The following is a 19902-nucleotide window of genomic DNA, read 5'->3' as shown; positions in this document are numbered from 1 at the left end:
GAGACCAGCCTGGCCAACATGCTGAAACCCTGTCTCTACTAAAAAATACAAAAATTAGTTGAGCATGGTGGTGGGCACCTGTAATCCCAGCTACTTGGGAGGCTAAGGCAGGAGAATTGCTTGAACCTGGGAGGTGGAGGTTGCAGTGAGCTGAGATCATGCCACTGCGCTCCAGCCTGGGCGACAGAGCAAGATTCCATCTCAAAAAATAAAAATAAAAATAAGAGCAATAAATAAAAATTAATAGGGCCAGGCATGGTCGCTCATGCCTGTAATCCCAGCACTTTGGGAGGCTGAGGCAGGCAGATCACCTGAGGTCAGGAGTTTGAGACCAGCCTGGCCAACATGATGAAAATCTGTCTCTAATAAAAATACAAAAATTAGCAGGTGTATTGGAGTGCCTGCAATCCCAGCTACCCAGGAGGCTGAGGTGGGAGAATCTCTTGAACCCAAGAGGCAGAGGTTGCAGTGAGCTGAGATTGCACCACTGCACTCCAGCATGGGCAACAAAGCAAGACTGTCTCAAAAAAAAAAAAAAAAAAAAAAAAAAGATAGTATTCTGTCTTTCTTTTTTTTTTTCTCAGTGTTTCCCCAAAACTCCCAGGCAAATACCCCAGTGGATTTAGCTCAGAGGCAGAGAATAAAAGCATGTAGTTCTTTCTTGTGATCTTAGTGTGTTTGTCTTTGGGGAAAACAGAGTGAAACACTTTAAAATTACTGAGCACCAGAAAAGTATACTAATCATGAATGGGCACGAAAATCATGCTTCTCATGCATTTGCACGTCAAGATCAATTTATTATACTTGGCAAAAAGATGAGAAGAAAATAAGTGGGTTATTATTTATATAACCATCATCATTTTTTCCCATAGGATCTAATATTCAGAGTCCTATAATACATAGGGGGGTTTGTCTTTCAAAAAGAAAGAAGGAAGGGAGGGAAGGGGGGGACCTACCATTTATTAAGAAGCTTGTCTACATTAGGCAATAAATGAGCTTTTCCCAAATTCCCAAATGAAATCCATGTTAGTTTTATAATGCTGCTGTAAAAAATCACCACAAACGTATGTGCCTAACACAAACAAATGTATTACAGTTTTAGAGGTCAGAAGCCCCACACGAGGCTCATGGAGATAAAATTAAGGTGTCGACTGGGCACAGTGGTTCACACTGGTAATCCCAGCACTTTGGGAGGCTGAGGCAGGAGGATTGCTTGAGGCTAGGAGTTCACGACCAGCCTAGGCAATATGCAAGACTCCCTGTCTACAAAAAAATACTAAAAATTAGCTGAGTGTTGTGGTGCCTGCCTGTAGTCCCAGCTACTTGGGAGGGTGAGGTGGAAGGATCGCTTGAGCCCAGGAGCTCAAGGCTGCAGTGAGCCGTGATTGTAGCACTGTACTCCAGCCTGGGTGACAGAGAAAGTTTCTGTCTCTTATGAAACCCAGGAGTGCTGGTTCTTTCTGGAGGCTGTGGGGAGGATCCGATTCCTTGCCTTCTTTAGCTTCCAGCGTTTCCAAGCTCATGGCTCTCCCTCACTCGCATCTCAGCTTCCATTTTCATGTCTCCTTCTCCAACTTGGACCCTCCTGCCTCCCTCTTAGAAGGAGCCTGTGACGGCATTTAGGGCCAACCTGGGTCATCCAGGGGCATCTCCCATCTCAAGATCCTTAACCTCATCTCATCTGCAAAGTCCTCCTGACCGTGCAAGATCAGCTGTTCCCAGGTTCCAGGGATTCAGATGTGGACATCTTTGGGGAATCATTATTCTACCTATCACAGTAGCCTATATGCTTTTTCCCCCAAAACTCTCTGAAGTAACCACTGTTATCTCATCAGGCAAAAATTCTGAGACCCAGCCAAGTGAATTACTGTGGATAATATCACGTCAACTAGAAAGTGGCCCCAGGTAGTCAGACCATATGCTTTTTCTTTTTCCTTCAACTTTTATTTTAAGTCCGGGGGTATCAGTGCAGGCTGTGCAGGTTGTTTCAGAGGCAAACGTGGGCCATGCTGCTTTGTTGTTTTTCACTTTTTAATAATCGCCATTCCGACTGGCATGAGATAGCAACTCATTATGGTTTTCATGTACATTTCATTACCCAGGTATTGAGCCTGGCATCCATTAGCTATTCTTCCTGATGCTCTCCCTCCCCCTGCGCCCCCTTACAACAGGCCCCAGAGTGTGCTCTTCCCCACAATGTGTCCATGTGTTCTCATCGTTCATCTCCCAATTATAAGTGAGAACATGCAGTGTTTGGTTTTCTCTTCCTGTGTTAGTTTCCTGAGGATAACAGCTTCCAGCTTCATCCACATTCCTGCAAAGGACATAATCTCACTCCTTTTTATGGCTGCATAGTATTCCATGGTGTCTATGGACCACATTTTCTCTGTCCAGTCTACCACTGATGGTCATTTGGATTGATCCCGTGTTGTTGCTATCATGAATAGTGCTGCAGTGAACATACACGTCTATGTATCTTTATAATAGAGTAATTTACAGTCCTTTGAGTATATACCCAGCAATAGGATTGGTGGGTTAAATGATAGTTTTGCCTCTAGATCTTTGAGAAATCACCACACTCTCCCACAATGGTTGAACTAATTTACACTCCCACCAATAGTGTAAAAGCCTTCCTTTTCCTCTGCAACCTCACCAGCTTCTGTTGGTTTTTGACTTTTTAATAATTGCCATTCTGACTGGTGTGAGATGGTCTCTCATTGTGGTTTTGATTTGCATTCCTCTAATCAGACCATATCTTATCTTATTGTAAGTCCATCTTCTTGTTACAATGAGCTGCCTCCCAAAGTTCCTTCCAAAGATGTCCAATGTTACATCAGAAATGGGGTATTAAGTCACATCTTTATCATCACCCACCTTCAAGTGTAACTGAACTCATGAAGACGTATTCACTGAGCATCTGTGCTGGGTCACACTAACCACCCTCAGAGAGCTAGTCAAACAGAGCAATATCCTGCCACATATAATCAAATAGCAAATATATTCACTGAAGATATGGTGAATGACAAAAAAATGAGCCTGGGCAGCATAGTGAGATCCTACCTCTGCCAAAAAAGCAAATTTCAGTTAGCTGGGCATGGTGCCGCCCACCTGTGGTCCCAGCTATTTGGGAGGCTGAGGCAGGGGAATCTCAAGCCCAGGATTTCAAGGCTGCAGTGAGCCATGATTATACCACTGCACTCCAGCCTGAGCAACAGAGTGAGACCCCATGTCTGTAAAAAAAGAACCTCCCCCTCAAAAAAAGACACAAAATGTCAGTTAGACAGGATGGATAAGTTCAAGAAATCTATTTTATAGCATGATGACCACAGTAAATAACAATATATTTTATCGGCGGTGAATGGTGAAGACATTCACTGTTAAGTGAAAATTACTATGAGAGTAGATTTTAAATGTTCTCACCACGAAAACATAACTATGTTAGGGAATGTTAATTAGCTCAATTTAGCCATTCCACAGTGGATATATGTATCAAAACATCATAAATACATACAATATTTGATTTGTCAATTAAAAGAAGAATATGCCAATATAAATGTGTTTTAAAGTAAAAAAAAAAAAAAGAATATACAGAAGAAAAAAAGAATATAGAAATATGTAGAAAAGAAGGCCAGGAGCTGTGGCTCCTGCCTGTAATCCCAGCACTTTAGGAGACTGAGGAAGGTGGATCACTTGAGGTCGGGAGTTCGAGACCAGCCTGGCCAACATGGTGAAATCCCATCTCTACTAAAAATACAAAAATTAGCCGGGTGTGGTGGTGGGCGCCTGTAATCCCAGCTACTTGGGAGGCTGAGGCAGGAGAATTGCTTGAACCCAGGAGGCAGAAGTTGCAGTGAGCCAAGATCGCACCACTGCACTCCAGCCTGGGCAACAGAGTGAGGCTCCATCTCAAAAAAAGAAATATGTAGAAAAGAAATATTGAAAAGAATAAATATAATAATGTATTTAAGCAAAATAACTGAAACAAATAATTTACAAGCCAGGTGCTGGTCCCAACTATTCAGGAGACTGAGGCAGGAGGATCCTTTGAGCCCAGGAATTTGAGCTCAGCCTGGGCAGCATAGCAAGAACCCATCTCTAAAAAAGAAAAAGATGAAGAATTTACAATTCTTACATCTACATTGTTTTTGTTTTGTTTTGTTTGAGATGGAGTTTTGCTCTGTCACCCAGGCTGGAGTGCGATGGCACCATCTTAGCTCACTTCATCCTCTGCCTCCCAAGTTCAAGGGATTCTCCTACTTCAGCCTCCTGAGTAGCTGGGACTACAGGTGCCCGCCACCACGCCTGGCTAATTTTTGTATTTTTAGTAGAGATGGGATTTCACCATGTTGGCCAGGCTGGTCTCGAACTCCCGACCTCAAGTGATCCACCTTCCTCAGTCTCCTAAAGTGCTGGGATTACAGGCATGAGCCACCATGCCTGGCCCAACAATTCCTACATCTACATTGTTGAATGGGGCAGTGACAGGGAAACCAGCTGTAGCCCAATTCAAGATTGGATTGCTCAAATTGGGAGGCATCATCAGCATAATGAGTTGGAAACACCAAGTATACGAGTTTCCCATTGCTGCTGTTACAAATTCTCACACACTTAGTGACTTAACACAATCAATGGACTATCTTACAGTTCTGTAAGTCAGAAGTTCAGAATGGGTCTTACAGGCTGTATTAGTCTGTTCTCACATTGCTAAAAAGAACTACGTGAGACTGGCTAATTTATAAAGAAGAGAGGTTTAATTGATTCACGGTTCTGCAGGCTGTACAGGAGGCATGGCTGGGGAGGCCTAGGGAAACTTACAATCATGGCAGAAGGCGAAGAGGAAGGAGGCACATTCTGTATGGCTGGAGAAGGAAGAAGAGAGCAAAGGTGGAGGTGCCACACACTTTTAAACAACCAGATCTTGTGTGAACTCGCTCACTATCATGAGAACAGCAAGGGGGAAAAATGCCCTTATGATTCAACCACCTCCCACCAGGCCCCTCGTCCAACACCATGGATTACCATTCAACAGCCGACTTGGGTGGCAATATGGTTTGGCTGTGTCCCCACCCAAATCTCATCTTGAACTGTAGTTCCCATAATCTCCAGGTGTCATGGGAGGGAGCCAGTGGGAGGTAATTGAATCATGGGGGCAGTTACCTCCATGCTGTTCTCATGATAGCGAGTGACTTCTCATGAGATCTGATGCTTTTATAAGGGACTTTGCCCCGCTTCACTCTGCACTTCTCCTGGCCGTCGCCACGTGAAGGATGTGTTTGCTTCTCCTTCCACCATGATTGTAAGTTTCCTGAAGCCCCCAGCCATGCTGACCTGTGAGTCAATTAAACATCTTTCCTTTATAAATTACCCAGTCTTGGGTATGTCTTTATTAGCAGTGTGAGAAGGAACTGATACAGGTGGGGACAAAAATTCACATCACATCATAGGCTGAAACCAAGATGTTGGCAAAACTGGTTCTTTCTGGAAGCTCTAGGGGTAAAATTAATTTCCTTAGCTTTCCCATATTCTGGAAACCACCCACATTCCTTGGCTCACGGCCCCTTCCTTTATCTCCAAAGCACATCATTCCACCTCTGCTTCCATCCTCATGTCTTCGTCTCTGACTCTGACCTCCTACTTCCCTCTTATAAGGATGCCTGTGATGACATTGGACATATGTGGATTATCCACGATCATCCCCCAATCTCAATATCCTTAACTTTGTCACAACTGCAAAGTCCCTTTGACTATGTAAGGGAATGTAGCCACTAGTTCCAGGGATTAGGGTATGGATGTCCTTCAGTAACATTATTCTGCCAACATCACCAAGCTTCTGTGTGGAAGTCCCCTCTCTATGGGGGTAATGCTTCTAGCCCTTGGTCAAGGACCACAGAATGCCTCTCACTAGTTTCTTCCTGCATCTCCACCTTCCCACGAAGAGCCAATTTCCATCAGCAGTGATGACACAGAAGCTATCTCGCTGCTTTTGAACTCTCCACCACGCAATTCCAAGCTCTCAAAAATTCTTGCTTCGTTTTAACGTAGCAAACTCAGCTGTTATTTTTGACAACACAGAAATGAAATCAATTGACCTGTGTTGTTTAATCATTTAATCAAATTTTAAAGTGGATAATATACCTTTTTTGGGGGTGGGGGACAAGGTCTTGCTCTGTCACCCAGGCTGGAGTGCAGTGGTGTGATCATAGCTCACTGCAGCCGTGACTTCCTGAGATCCTTCCACCTCAACCTCCCAACTAGCTGGGACCACAGGTACACACCACCATGCCCTGCTAAATTTTGTATTTTTACAAAAATTACACATGGAACTTTGTCAGAGTCTAAATTTTAAAATTAATTTTAAATTAAAATTAAATTTTAAATTAAATTTAAAGTTGTCATCTAAGTTGTTATTAAAAGTTAAAAAATAACAGATGCTGGCAAAGCTGAGAGAAAAGAGGACATTTATAGACTGTTGGTGGGAGTGTAAATTAGTTCAGCCACTGTGGAAATCAGTCTGGACATTTCCCAAAGGACTTAAAACACAACCACCACTTGACCCCACAATCTCACTACTGGGTATATACACAAAGGAATATAAATCATTCTACCATAAAGACACATGCACATGTATGTTCATTGCAGCACTATTCACAATAGCAAAGATATGGAATCAACCAAAATGCCCATAAATGACAGATTGGATAAAGAAAACATGGTACATACACACCATGGAATGTTATGCAGCCATGAAAAAGAAGGAAATCACATCCTTTGCTGCGACATGGATGTAGCTGGAGGCCATTATCCTAAGCAAATTAATGCAGGATCTGAATACTAAATACTGCATGTTCTCACTTCTAACTGGGAACTAAACATTGAGTTCACATGGACACAAAGAAGGGTATGATAGACACTAGGGCCTACTTGAGGGTGGAGGGTAGGAGGAGAATGAAGATTGAAAAACTACCTATCCAGTATTATGCTGATTACCTGGGCAATAAAATCGTCTGTACACCAAAGCTCCACAGCATGCAATTTACCCATGCAACAAACCTGCACATGTACCCCTTGAACCGGAAATAAAAGTTGGAAAGAAAAAATAATAGGCCAGGCGCGGTGGTTCATGCCTGTAATCCCAGCGCTTTGGGAGGCCGAGGCGGGCGGATCACCTGAGGTCATGAGTTTGAGACCAGCCTGACAAACATGGTGAAACCCTGTCTCTACTAAAACTACAAAAATGAACCAGGCATGGTGGCAGGCGCCTGTAATCCCAGCTACTCGGGAGGCTGAGGCAGGAGAATCACTTGAACCCAGGAGCCGAGATCACGCCACTGTACTCCAGCCTGGGCGACAGAGCGAGACTCTGTCACAAAAAAGAAAAGAATACTTCTTTTTTAATTTAATTTTATTTACTTATTTATTTATTTTAGAGACACGGTCTCCACTCTGTCACCCAAGCTGGAATGCAGTGGTGCAATCACAGCTCACTGAACTCTTGAACTCCTGGGCTGAAGTTTTCTCCCACCTCACCCACCCGAGTAGCTGGGACCACAGGCACATACCATCATACACAAAACCAATTTTAATTTTTTTGTAGAGACAGGGTCTTACTGTGTTACCCAGACTGGTCTCAAACTCCTAGCCTCTGGCGATGCTCCTACCTCAGCCTCTAAAACTCTGGGATTACAGATGTGAGCCACCATGACTGGCCTCTAATTTTAAATGTAGTTTTTATTCTTTTTATTCTTGTCAAAGTGATACATGTATAAAGCTCAAAAGATGAAGCCAAACCTTAAGCTTATGTCTTGCCCTCAAGGTTCACTCCTATTTTTTTTCTGGGATCTACTTTATATTTTGAAATAACATATTTGCCCAGAAATCTCTTGTGTTTCTTAACTTTAGATGGTATCTATTAACTTTCTGTTTGTAGGATGATGGCTTTTCGTTTTTTGCCCAATCACCATTCCCTCAAGTGCCTGCACACATACACACACACACACACACACACACACACACATTTCCTTTCTATTCAGCTTCCTGATATGGCTACATCACCAATGTTTACTAAATGAATACCCAAACTTACATTATGTGAGTTCTCTAAATACTGAGATGTGCCTAACTTCCCTTCCTTGTATACATTCTTGAATTTCCTAAGCTTGCTAGCTGTTCATGGTTTGCCTTCTAAAATTCTTTTCACAGACTTATTACGAGACTGAAAATCCCTTCCAAATACCGTTAACACCTAAGGTAGTCACATCATGATGGTGAACACAGCCTCCTGGGACCCTACAACTTCCTTCTCCAACCTGGATTCAAGGCTTTCTAAGACACCCCCAGAGCTACTGTCCCCAGGACATCCCGTTTCCAAACAGCCTGGGTTTGTAGCCTGGATTGCTTCTTGTGGTATCTTGATCAGATAAGTCTGCGTCTCTGCAGCTCAGTTTCCATGACTGGTTGGAAAATGAGAATAATAATAGTCACGTGCATTAAATGTGATCGTGGTTGTAAAATGTTAAGGCTAGCTCCCTACTCACTGTGTGCAGGATGTTATTTTTATGGTCATCCTGAAAATTCCCCCCAAATTTCTTCACGTTAGCTGCATCAGTTCCTGAATTCCATGTCTCCCTCATGCTCAAATTGCCCTCATTTCCTCAAATCCAGTTTTCTAAGACATTACCAGCAAGAGTGCATGGGGGTTACCGTTAAGAGGCATTCTGCAGCTACGTGAGCTCCAGCCTTCATGCTCAGTCCCTCATGTGGCATGGCTGGGTTGTGTATGCAATCCTAGACATTTCCCCCCAAAATGGTGAAGGCATCACTGTTACTATTGAGCTTCCAGTGCTGCTGAGCCTGAGGCAAAGTCGAATCCCTTTTTTATTTTTTCTCAACCCTTTGCATCTCTCTCTCTCTCATTTTCTTTTTTTTTTTTTTTAGACGGAGTCTTGCTCTGTCCCCCAGGCTGGAGTGCATTGGCACGATCTCGGCTCACTGCAAGCTCTGCCTCCCGAGTTCAGATGATTTTCCTGCCTCAACCTCCCGAGTAGCTGGGATTACAGGCACACACCACCACTCCCGGCTAATTTTTGTATTTTTAGTAGAGATGGGGTTTCACCATGTTGGCCAGGCTGGTCTTGAACTCCTGACTTCAAATGATCCACCCACCTCGGCCTCCCAAAGTGCCTGGATTACAGGCGTGAGCCACTGTGCCCGGCCTCTCATTTTCTCTCTCATTCTCTCTTTCTCTCTCTTATTCTCTCTTTCATTCTCTTTCTCTCTCCCACTCTGTTTCTCTCATTCTCCCTCCCAGTCTCTCCGTCTCTCTTCTTTTGCATAATTCTGTCATTCTCTTTCTCTCTCATTCTCTCTCCCACAATCTCTCTCTTTCTCTCCCTCTTCTTTCCCTCTCTCTTTTTGCATGACTCTGTCATTCTCTCTCATTCTTTCTCCCACTCAGTTTTCTCTCTTTTTGCATGACTCTGTCACTCTCTCTCTCTGTCATTCTCTCGCTCTGTGTCTTTCTCCCTCCGCCTCCCCAGCCCCCACTATTCTAGAGTCTTTTCTCTTCCCCCTTCACACACTGAAATGTCACAACAATGCGAGCCATTTTCCTCCCAGTCTCATGGAGACCCAGAAACTTAGAGGTTCTCCTATATTTGAGTAAAACATTCTCATTTCAGGCTGAGCGCGGTGGCTCACACCTGTAATCCCAGCACTTTGAGAGGCCAAGCGGGGGCAGGTCTCTTGAGTCCAAAGTTTGAGACCAGCCTGGGCAACATGGCAAAACCCTGTCTCTACTAAAAATACAAAAAGAATTTGCCTGATGAGGGGCTGCATACCCATGGACCCAGCTACTCAGGGGGCTGAGGTGGGAGGATCACTTGAGCCTGGGAGGTCAAGGCTGCAGTGAGACATGATTGCACCATTGCACTCCAGCCTCGGCAACAGAGCAAGACCCTGTCTCAAGAAAAAGAGAAAAAATATCATTCTCATTTCAAGCCATTTATCCCCTCTTTTCTCACACATAGAAGCAAGCTTGGTTTCATTTCTCTAATTTTCGATGTAGCATGTTTAAGCAGTAGGAGAGATACCTGGACCTCTAGATGCTAATTAACATTGGCATTGATGAGACACGTCTGCCTACTTAATGAACACGTTCTGATCGCTCCTGTTTTGAGGCAGTATGCTGAGAGTCAGAAATAAAAAGGCTGAGGGAAACATTATATTCTCCTTTCCAGATGATATAGTCTAATGGGAAATGCAGGTTTATGAACAAATAACCAGGACTTACTGTTAGACATAGTACATAGCACATAGCAAATTTAACAAAATAGTTTATCTTTGCTGTGTGTTTGTGTGTGTGTGTGTGTGTGTGTGTGCACGCGCGCATGGGTGTCTGTCTCTCTTTTTCCCCCTCAGCAGACAAAAGACGAGGATGACCTTTAGAAGGCTTGGAGGCAGATGGATGCTGCGGTGTGAATGTGTGTGACCCCCAAAATTCCTATGTTGAAATGCTAACCCCCAAAGTCATGAGGTTAGGAGGTGGGACCTTTGGGAGGTGCTGATGTCATGAGGGTGGGGCCTCATGAATGGGATCAGTGCCCTTAGAAAAGGGACCCCAGAAAGCTCCCTCACCCTTTCCACCATGTGAGGACACAGTGAGAAGGTGCCATCTATGAACCAGGAAGCCCTCACCAGACACTGAATCTGCCACACCTTGCTCCTGGACCTCCAGCCTCCAGAACCATGAGCAATAAACATCTGTTGTCTACAAGCCTCCCAGCCCAAATGGACTAGGACTCTAAGCTAGCAGTAACTGTCATGGCAGGCAGGACGGAGATGGAGGCAATGAACTCATGGCAATACACAGGACAACCCAACAAGAAGTCCCAGAAATCTTAACCATCTCAGGAATGGGAGACAGCAGGTGGCTCTCAAGGTGCAGACACAGGCGGGGCTGGAGACAGGAGCTTTGCACAGCAGTGCTTGTCAGAAGAATTCTCCTCCTACTCCTTGCAGCCAGATGAACACATCTCGACAACTTGGACAAACTTACTTGTAATTTTAACCAGTGATGAATAAGCAAAGATCTAGATTCATGGACGCCGGAGAGAGCTGAGAGTAAAGGTGAGATAATGTGCCAGAAAAAATAAGATTAAGAAAAAGTCTGACACTCCCAAATATGTACCCCAAAGAAATAAAAGCAGTGAGATGCAAAACAGTACATACGCACTCATGTTCATAGCAGGGACTGAGTAGCACACTACAGTGTTCACTACACCAGGGATGCTCTCTCTCTACATATATGTTTTTGTTTTTTTTTGAGACAGGGTCTCACTCTGTTGCTCAGGCTGAAATATAGTAGCACGATCACAGGTCACCGCAGCGTCAACCCCCCAGGTTCAAGCAATCCTCCTACCACTCACTCCCAAATAGCTGAGACTACAGGTGTGCTGCACCGTACCTGGCTATTTTTTGTATGTTTTTTAGAGACAAGGTTTCACTATGTTACCCAGGCTGGTCTCAAACGTCTGAGCTCAAACAATCTGCCCACCTTGGTCCCTCAAAGTGCTGGGATTACAGGCATGAGCCACCGCACCCAGCCCATGTTCTATCTTTTATTTATTTATTTATTTATTTGAGACTGAGTCTCACTCTATGGCCCCAGCTGGAGTGCACTGGCATGATCTCAGCACATGGCAACCTCTGCCTCCTGGGTTCAAGCGATTCTCATGCCTCAGCCTCCCGAGTAGCTGGGATTACAGGCGTACACCACCACACCTGGTTAACTTTTGTATTTTTGGTAGAGATGGGGTTTCACCATGTTGGCCAGGATGGTCTCGAACTCCTGACCTCAAGTGATCCACCCGCCCCAGCCTCCCAAAGTGCTGGGATTACAGGCGTGAGCCACTGTGCCCAGCCTATTTATTTATTTACCTTTTATTTTAGGTTTGGGTGTACATGGAAAGGTTTGTTAATCAGTAAACATGTGTCACAGGGGTTTGCTGTACAGATTATTTCATCACCCAGGTACTAAGCCCAGCACCCAATGGTGATCTTTTCTCTCCTCTCCCTCCTCCCACCCGCCCCGCTCAAGTAGACCCCAGCGTCTGTTGTTTCTTTCTTTGTGTTCATGAGTTCTTGTCATTTAGCTCCCAGCTCTATATTTTTCACCAACGGAACCAGAAAGCTTTTCTGAGTAATTAATTGCATGATGACCTCAGCAATATCTAAGAAAAATGATTCTGGAAGCTGTGGTGGGGGGTGGGGTTGACGCTTTAAAGAGAAAGCTACAGGAAGGGTATGGCAAGTCTGTGGTCATGGGCTGAAGTAGTCCTGGGCAGGAGATGAATGACAGAGATAGACAGGAAAGTCTCCACCATGATGGTGCTGATAAAAGCAAAGTCAAGAGGATGTGGTGACCGATTCTGCATTGTAAAAAACAAGAGGAAGATAAAGATGACGTCCAAATTAGTGCCTGAGAGGACTAAACAGAATATGTACGTAAGAGATATATATATATATATATATATATATATATATAGATAGATAGAGAGAGAGAGAGAGAGAGAGAGAAAGTGTGAAAGAGAGAACGAAGACGATTAGATTGGGGGGTGGTGTAGAAATGAATTCACTTTTTATTACTTTTACTCTATAAAATGCATTTTAGACTCTGAAATTTTACAAGGAAATAGTAAGAATTAAGGAAGTCTTTAAAGTGCCACTTGAAAATCATGTTATATTGCAAGTACTACACTGGCTTTAATATTCAAGACTCTCATTTCTTTTTTTTTTTTTTTTTTTTTTGAGACAGAGTCTCACTCTGTCGCCCAGGCTGGAATGCAGTGGCCCAATCTCAGCTCACTGCAACCCCTGCCTCCCAGGTTCAAGCAATTCTCCTGCCTCAGGCTCTACCTCAGATTACAGGCATGCGCCACCACGCCTGGCTAATTTTTGTATTTTTAGTAGAGATGGGGTTTCACCATATTGGTCAGGCTGGTAAGACTCTCATTTTTTTTTTTTTTTTTTTTTGAGATGCGGTCTCACCCTGTAGCACAGGCTGGAGTGCAGTGGCTGGATCATGGGTCACTGCAGCCTTTAGCCCCCTGCTCAAGAGATCTTCCCACCTCCATCTCCCGAGTAGCTGGGACCACAGGCACATGCCACCATGCCCAGCTCGTTTTTGTATTTTTTTGTAGAAATCGGGTCTCACTATGTTGCCCAGGCTGGTCTCAAACTCCCGGGCTCGAGCAGTCATCTCACCTTAGCCTCCTAAATTTCTGGGATTATAGACATCAGCCACCGTGTCCAGCTAAGACTCTCATTTCTTACCAAGACCTGATAGTATGTCTTATTTGGGTTATTAGTTGAATTTTAGGTTATTTCATTAAGTACATGAAAATAATTAAAATGGATGACCAGGTGCAGTGGCTCACATCTGTAATCTCAGCACTTTGGGAGGCTGAAGTGGGTACATTGCTTGAGCCTAGGAGTTCAAGATCAGCCTGGGCAATATAGCAAGACCCCATTTCTACAAAAATATTTTTTAAATAGCCAGGTGTGGTGGTGCATGCCTGTAGTCCCAGCTACTCAGGAGGCTGAAGTGGGAGGACCATCTGTGCCCAGGAGACAGAGGCTGCATTGAGCCGTGATGGCACCACCGCACTCCAGCCTGGGTGACAGAGTGAGACCCTGTCTCAAAAATAAATAAAATAAATGGACTCATAAAATAAGTTGTTTTCATTCTTAAAAGGACAAGATATTTTAAAATAGCTTCACATGACATGAAGTCCACTTGTCTTCTTGAGTAGAGAAAGTTAACACCTTTGAGGGATGTCCACTGGTATCTAGGATGTGTTGCGTCACAAAACAGGGTGGGAAAATGTAAACAAAAACAAAAACAAAAAAACAAGCTGGTTCTCAACAGTCCTACCACTGACTGTAATTTTGAGGTTATTTTCTTCATGGATATCTTTGTTCCTGGTCTGTTCCAGTTCTGAAATTCTGATTGACTTCTTGACGCAATCACATGACATCAAAATTGCTGAAAAAGTCCCATCACTACAGTGTGAGTAAATCAGCTGGTAGAATTATTTTCTTTTCCTTTCACTCATGGGTGAGTATATCGTATTTTGTACAGTTCAAGAATAATAGAACGAACACCTACATAAATGCAATTTAAATCAAAACATGCATCCCATACCTCAAAAGGGCCTTGTGTGCCTCTCTCAACCCAGAATTTATGTTAACCACTTATGTTATTCATCAATTTGTTTTATATATAGTTTAGTGATGTGTCTCATCTCTACACTGTATATTATGTTGTCTGTGTGTGTTTTTGTTTTGTGCTGTTTTTTAGAGACAGGGTCTCACTGTGTTCCCCAGCCTGGAGTACAATAGTGCGATCATGGCTCACGGCAGCCTCAAAGTCGTGGGCTCAAGCGATCCTCCCATTGCAGCCTCTCAAGTAGCTGGGACTACAGGTAGCACCACCATGCCAGGATAATATTTTTATTTGTATATATTTGTAGCATTCATTTTTAAAAAAATTTATTCATCATGAGTAAGATTGAGCATCTTTTCACATGTTTGAGTCACTTTTTTTTTGAGACAGTCTCGCTCTGTTGCCCAGGCTGGAGCGCAGTGGCACTATCTCGGCTCACTGCAACCTCTGCCTCCCGGGTTCAAGCGATTCTCCTGCCTCAGCCTCCCGAGTAGCTGGGATTACAGGTGTGCACCACCACGCCCGGCTAATTTTATTTTTGTTTTTGTAGAGACAGGGTGTCATTACGTAGCCCAGGCTGGTCTTGAACTCCTGGACTCAAGCAATAATCTCGCCTCAGCTTCCCAAAGTGCTGGGATTATAGGCATGAGCTGCTCCCGGCCTGTGTTTTTTTTTTTGTCTTTGTTGTTGTTGTTTTTCAACCTCTGATATATTACTTTATTTTTATTTTTATTTATTCTACTTTAAGTTCTAGGGTACACGTGCACAACGTGCAGGTTTGTTACATATGTATACATTTTTAGTAGATTTTATTTTTTAGAGCAGTTTTAGATTGACAGCAAAATTGAGAGGAAGGTACAGAGAGTTCCATGGACCCCCTACCCTGAACATGCATCACCTCCCCTGCTGTCTGTGGCAGCTGATGAACCGGCATTGACACATCATTGACACCAGAGCCCATCGTTCACTTTCGGGTTCACACTTGGTGGCGGACGTTCTGTGGGTTTGGGTAAATGTATAATAGCATGGATATACCACTATAGTGTCACGCAGAGGAGTTTCACTACACTAAAAATCCTCTGTACTCCGCCTATTCATTCCCACATCCTGGCAACCACTGATCTTTTTACTGTCTCATAGTTTTGCCTTTTCCAGAAAGTCCTATAGTTAGAATCGCATGTAGCCCTTTTGGATTGTCTTCTTTCAATTAGTAATATGTCCGGCTTATAGCTCATTTCTTTTCTCTTTTCTTCTTTTTCCTTTGTTTCTTTTTTTTTCTCTTTTTTTTTTTTTTTTTTTTTTGAGACAGGGTCTCACTCCATTGCCCAGGCTGGAGTGCAGTGGTGCAATCATAGCTCACTGCAGCCTTGACCTCCTACGCTTAAGCAATCCTCTCACCTCAGCCTCCTGAGTAGCTGGGACTACAGGTGCACACCACCACATTTTAAAATGTTTTATAAAAACAGGATCTCACTACGTTGCCCAGGCTGGTCTCGAGCGCCTGGGCTCAAGGGATTCTCCCTTGGCCTCCCAAAGTGCTGGGACTACAGGCACAAGCCACCACATCTGACCCTTATTTCTTTATATATATATTTTTTATTATTTTTTTCTCATTCTTGCTGTCATCTTACTCTTTTTTTTTTTTTTTTTTTTTTGACATGGAGTCTCGTTCTGTCACCCAGGCTAGAGTGCAGTGGCATGATCTTGGCTCACTGCAACCTCCACCTCCTGGGTTCAAGCGATTCTCCTGCCTCAGCCTCCTGAGTAGCTGGGACCACAGGTGCCCACCACCATGCCTGGCTAATTTTTGTATTTTTAGTAGAGACGGGGTTTCACCACATTGGCCAGGCTGGTCTCAAACTCCTGACCTTGTGATCCTCCCACCTCAGCCTCCCAAAGTGTTGGGATTACAGGCGTGAGCCACCATGCCCGGCCTGTTTTTTGTTTGTTTTTGTTTTTGTTTTTTGAGACAGAGTCTCACTCTGTCAGCCAGGCCTGGGGTGCAGTGGTGCGATCTAGGCTCACTGCAACCTCCGCCTCCCTGGTTCCAGCGATTCTCCTGCCTCAGCCTCCTGAATAGCTGGGATTACAGGCACACGCCACCATGCTGGCTAATTTTTGTATTTTTAGTAGAGATGGGGTTTTGCCATGTTGTCCAGGCTGGTCTCAAATTCCTGACATCAGGTGATCTGCCTGCCTCGGCCTCCCAAAGTGCTGGGATTACAGGCGTGAGCCACTGCACCCAGCCTCTTCTTTCTTTTTAATGCTGAATGATATCCCATTATCTGGATGCAACATGGTCTATTTGTCTATTCACCTACTGAAAGACGTCTTCCTTGCCTCCAAGTTTTGACAATTATAAATAAGGCTGTTGTAAACATCCATGTGCAGGTTTTCGCGTGGACACAAGTTTTCAATTCTTTTGGGTAACCATTGAGAGTGATTGCTGGATCATATGCCAGGACATATTTAGTTTTGTAAGAAACAGCCAAACTGTCTTCCAAAGTGACTGTACCATTTTGCATTCCCACCAGCCATGAATGGTCATTCCTGTTGCTCCACGACCTCATCAGCTTTTGGTGATGTCAGTGTTCTGGCTTTTGGCCATTCTCACAGATGTGTATTGGTATCTCATTGTTGTTTTAATTTGCATTTCCCCACTTTGCTTGTTTCCAATCTCTATATAATCATAATGACATTGTATGGAGTTTTTTTCAAGCTATTTCCTTCACCATTGTTTCAAGAATTACACCACTGAAGTAGGTAGCTGTGTTTCTGTTGTTCTTTGCTGCATATTGTTCCATGATCTGAATATCCCACATTTTTTTAAACATCATGAACATTTGGATTGTTTCTCATTGATATGGTTTGGCTGTGTCTCCACTCAAATCTCATCTTGAATTGTAGCTCCCATAATTCCCACATGTTGTGGGAGGGACCCGATGGGAGATAATTGAATCATGGAGGCAGTTTCCCCCATACCGTTCTCATCGTAATGAATAAGTCTCAAGAGATCTCATGGTTTTATAAGGAAAAAGCCTTTCACTTGGCTCTCATTCTCTCTTGCTTGCCACCATATATGACGTGCCTTTTGCCTTCTGCCAAGATTGTGAGGCCTCCCCAACCATGTGGAACTGTGAGTCCATTAAACCTCTTTTTCTTTATAAATTACCCAGTCTTAGGCATGTCTTTATCTGCAATGTGGAAATGGACTAATACACCCATCTTGTAATACTATAAGCAATGACATCATAAGCAATTTAATTTCATGTATATTTCCTATTACACATTTGTACAAGATTTTCTATGGTAAGAAACCAGAGTGGAACTGCTGTGTCATTGGCACATCCTCATCTTTACTAAGTAATTCTACATGGTTTTTCAAAGCAGCAGTAATATTTTCCACATCTACCAGCAGAGTATACATATTCCAGTGCATCTCTGTCTGCTCAGCTTTGGTACTGGGAGATAGCAACTGTGGTTTTAACTTTCCTTCCCTGACTACTACTGAAGCTGAGCAGCTTTCATTTGTTTATTTGTAATTTAGATTTCCTCTTCTGAATGTTCTTCCTTGACTTGTTCTTGATTTTTTTTTTTTTTTTTGAGACAGGTCTCACTCTCTCACCCAGGCTAGAGTGCAGTGGCATGATCATAGCTCACTGTAGCCTCGACCTCCCAAGTTCAAGCAATCCTCCCACCTCAGCCTTTCAAGTAGCTGGGACTTCAGGTATAAGCCACCACACCCAGCTAATTTTTGTATTTTTTGTAGAGATGGGGCCTCACTATGTTGCCCAGGTTGGTCTCAAACCCCTAGGCTCAAGCAACCCACCCACCTCAGCCTCCCAAAGTGCTGGGATTACAAGCGTGAGCCACCACACCCAACTTGTTCTTGACTTTAAGGAGACCACTTTTAATATCCCACTCTTTAGTATGACATACATTTTTCCGTAGAAAGCTTTTATCAGATTAAGGAAGTTTGTATTTATTCCTAGTTTGTTAAATCCTGAATGGGTGTTCAGTTTTATCACAGCTACTTTCTGTATCAATTGATACAAGAAATATTTTGTTTCCATTTTGTTTTCTTTTCTCCTTTAATCTGTAAATATTTAAAGTACAATCATAGATTGTCTATTGTTGAAACTTGCCTAACATTTGTACCTCACAAAGAGTGAGATTGGTCTATAATTTCTTTTCCCATGCTTTCTTTGTTGAGTTTGCTGAGTTTGAATATCAAAATATTCTTGGCCTCAAAATAGTTTGCATATGTTGCTTCTTTGTGTTTTGTCTGCTGGAGCTTAAATAATACTTGAATTTACTGCTGCCTGATAATACCAGTTAGGTCTAGCATTTTCTTAGTGAGAAGCTTTTTAACCACTCATTCAATGTATTAAATTTCTACAATACCATTTGGATATTCTATATCTACTTGAGTCAGTTTGGTTAAATATATTGTTCTATGAATGTGTCCATTGTGTACGAAGTTTTTAAACACATTGCGATAGTTATTCCTAATATCATCTTATTTTTTTTATAAACTCTGCTACATCTGGAGTTATATTTCTTTTTTCTTCATAATGTTATTCATTGGCATATTCTGTTTTTTTTGTGTGTATGATGGAGCTTTGCTCTTGTTGCCCAGGCTAGAGTGCAATGGCGTGACCTCTGCTCACTGCAACCTCCACCTCCTGGGTTCAAGTGATTCTCCTGCCTCAGCCTCCTGAGAAGCTGGGATTAGGTGCCTGCCACCACGCCGGGCTAATTTTTTTCTATTTTTAGTAGAGACAGGGTTTCACCATTTTGGCCAGACTGGTCTTTTTATCTGCAATCTTACCAGATTTTATTCATTCTACTCTTTTTATTGTAGTTTATTTTTAACTTGATTATAAATTAAAATTTGATTTAAAGTAAAATGAAGTTTATTAAAATTAAATGTTAATAAAAAATAAAAAGCTAATTGTATTTAAAATACATAAAATAAAAAAACTAGTTAATGTACTACAAATAAGTAATTAAATATAATTCAACTAATTTTATTTAAATGAACATTTAAAAGAAGCAATTAAATGCTTAAATGCTTTTTAACACTTAAAAGAGGCGATTCTACTAAAATTAATTTCACTAAAATTAAAAAGATTTCTAACTTCAGCTACTTCCATCTTCTCTCATTTTCTTCTCTAATTTGTGAATTCTACTGGTTTTCACTTATTTCCTTCTACTGTTCTGGGTAATTCTGCTGTTCCTTTTCTAACTTCTTGAGTGGGACGCTTAGCATACTTTTCTGTGCCATTTCTTCTCCTTTAGGATAAGCGTGTTACTGAAGTTTTCAAGTACCTCTAGTGACGCATCCGCTGCATCCCGCGGCTTCTGAGCTGCGCATTTGAGTTCCAAGGAGTCATGAAGGCAGCTTGAAAACGTTTTCTTGGGAAACCGAAACTGTCTGTGTCAATGCAATGGGCGCTGGGCGTAAAAGAGAAAACTTCTCCATGTGGGAAGGCTACTCTGTTCTCCTCCATTCTCTGCAGTGAATTTGGAAAGAACTGACATTTTGTCTACTTTTAGGAAAGTATCCATGCACTGGAGAGCTGGAAGCAAGAGCGAGATGCCCCCAGATCCTAAACAGGGAATCCAGCCATTTGCTGAAGACAAAAACAGGCACGTGGAAATGAGTCCCTTTGACCCTG

This window comes from Homo sapiens, chromosome X (genome assembly GCF_000001405.40).
Source record: "Homo sapiens chromosome X, GRCh38.p14 Primary Assembly".
In the NCBI taxonomy this organism is placed as follows: Eukaryota; Metazoa; Chordata; class Mammalia; order Primates; family Hominidae; genus Homo; species Homo sapiens.
The sequence above is the reverse complement of the archived record's forward strand: the minus strand, read 5'-3'. Positions refer to the sequence as shown.